A 1,615-nucleotide genomic window follows, 5' to 3' on the forward strand; every position below is an offset into this window, starting at 1 on the left:
GAACCCAGTCACTGAGTCACTGATATCTGGGTTTGAGCCCTGGCTCTGCCACTTAGGCTCGCAGGACCTCACCTACTGAATGAATGAGTTGGGAGGCTCCATAGATGTCAGAAACCTTTGCAAGCTGGGAAGCTGAGCTGAGGTGCAGCTGCTGTTCATCCCCAGGCTGATTCAGAGTATAAAACCCCAGGCTTAGTGCAATCCAGGATGTTTGGGTTCAAACCTCAGCTCCTCTCTTTACTAGCTGAGTGATTTCGGCAGGTTGTCAGCTTCTCTGAGCTACTTTTCCTACCTGGGCCCCTGAGCCCTGCTGGGCAGGGAACCCCTTTCTCCTGCCTCCAAACTTCAGACTCCTTCCTCTGAAACCATGGAAGGGGACACCTTTTATTAAACTGCTGTGGTGAGATGAGTGACAGGCTCTCTAGTGAAGCTGGCCTGTATGAGCTTGAAGATGCAAACCTTCACATGGACATACACACATGTACATAGTCACAGGGCAATTGTCAAGATGTGTAACAACAGGGAGGGTCCCCTGTTCTTTCCACCAACCAGAACACTCTCTTGCTTTTGCTGGTGCAGGGTTGAGAGTTAACCCTTCAATTGGAGGCTCATGGGGGAGGTCCCAGGGGTCCAGGGAGGGAGCTGGGGCAGCAGGGGGCCCTCAGGGGGTGTTGAGGCCGGTGGCTTTTACCAGCAGGTAAGGAAGCTTTAGAATATTTTAAGGCTGTTATGGCCACGATGGTATGTATCAGACGAATGCCAGCATCGCACACCTGTGAACCCTTTCCCATGGATAGGCCCATACAAGGGCATGCGCCTTCCCACACGCACACACACACACATCCTGCCACACATCAGACTTCCTAGCTTCCTGCAGTTAGTTTTCCTCGAATGAGCCAAAGCTGGGCTGACTCAGGTGGCAAACTGCCAGGATGCTGATATTTCCCTCGGCTCTGGCCTGAGAAGCTTCAGGGAAAAACCCACTCACATCCTGAATCCTCACCTGCTCCAGGCGGGCCTGCAGGCCTCCTGGCCCGGGCGCCGGCGGCAAGAGCCTCAGTGACATCCTGCTCTTCCTGAATGCCAAGCATATTGGCAGGGAGAAAACCCTGCCACACCCAGGGTTTCTCCAGAGTCCTCCCAAGGAAGAGGTAGAATGAGGCTGGTTTTCTTAATGTTTGGAGCTGGAAAGTTATGCTGAGATAACTGGTCTAGGCTCCCACTTTTTTTTTTTTTTTTGGTAGAGACAGTGTCCAGCTATGTTGCCATGGCTGGTCTTGAACTCCTGGCCTCAGGTGATCCTCCCACTTGGCCTCTCGAAGTTCTGGGATGACAGGCATGAGCCACCACACCCAGCCCCAGGCTCCCACTTAATAGGTGAAGAATTTGGTCCCAAACAGAGACAGAGAACCAACCAAAGTCCCACTTGCAGAGGGTGGTAAGCCCAGGACTGAACCCCGGCCTCCCGATGCCCCAGCCAGCACCTTCCACCCAGCAAGCCACAAATGACTGGATTCCCCCATTCGGTGTTCTGATTGCCTCCTGGGCAGTCCCCCATGGACACAATGGCCTAATCGGCCAAGTTTTCTCTTCCAGTTCTGCCCCATGTCATTCT

General features: G+C 53.4%; 1 annotated feature.

Moving 5' to 3' along the window:
• Positions 742 to 942: a silencer, noted in NCBI's record as "peak2228 fragment used in MPRA reporter construct". NCBI's record gives its function as "represses an SCP1 promoter by STARR-seq MPRAs in K562 erythroleukemia cells {active_cell/tissue: K562}" and the evidence as "EXISTENCE:reporter gene assay evidence [ECO:0000049][PMID:32103011]".

The sequence above is a fragment of the Homo sapiens genome, chromosome 14 (genome assembly GCF_000001405.40).
Source record: "Homo sapiens chromosome 14, GRCh38.p14 Primary Assembly".
Lineage (NCBI taxonomy): Eukaryota > Metazoa > Chordata > Mammalia > Primates > Hominidae > Homo > Homo sapiens.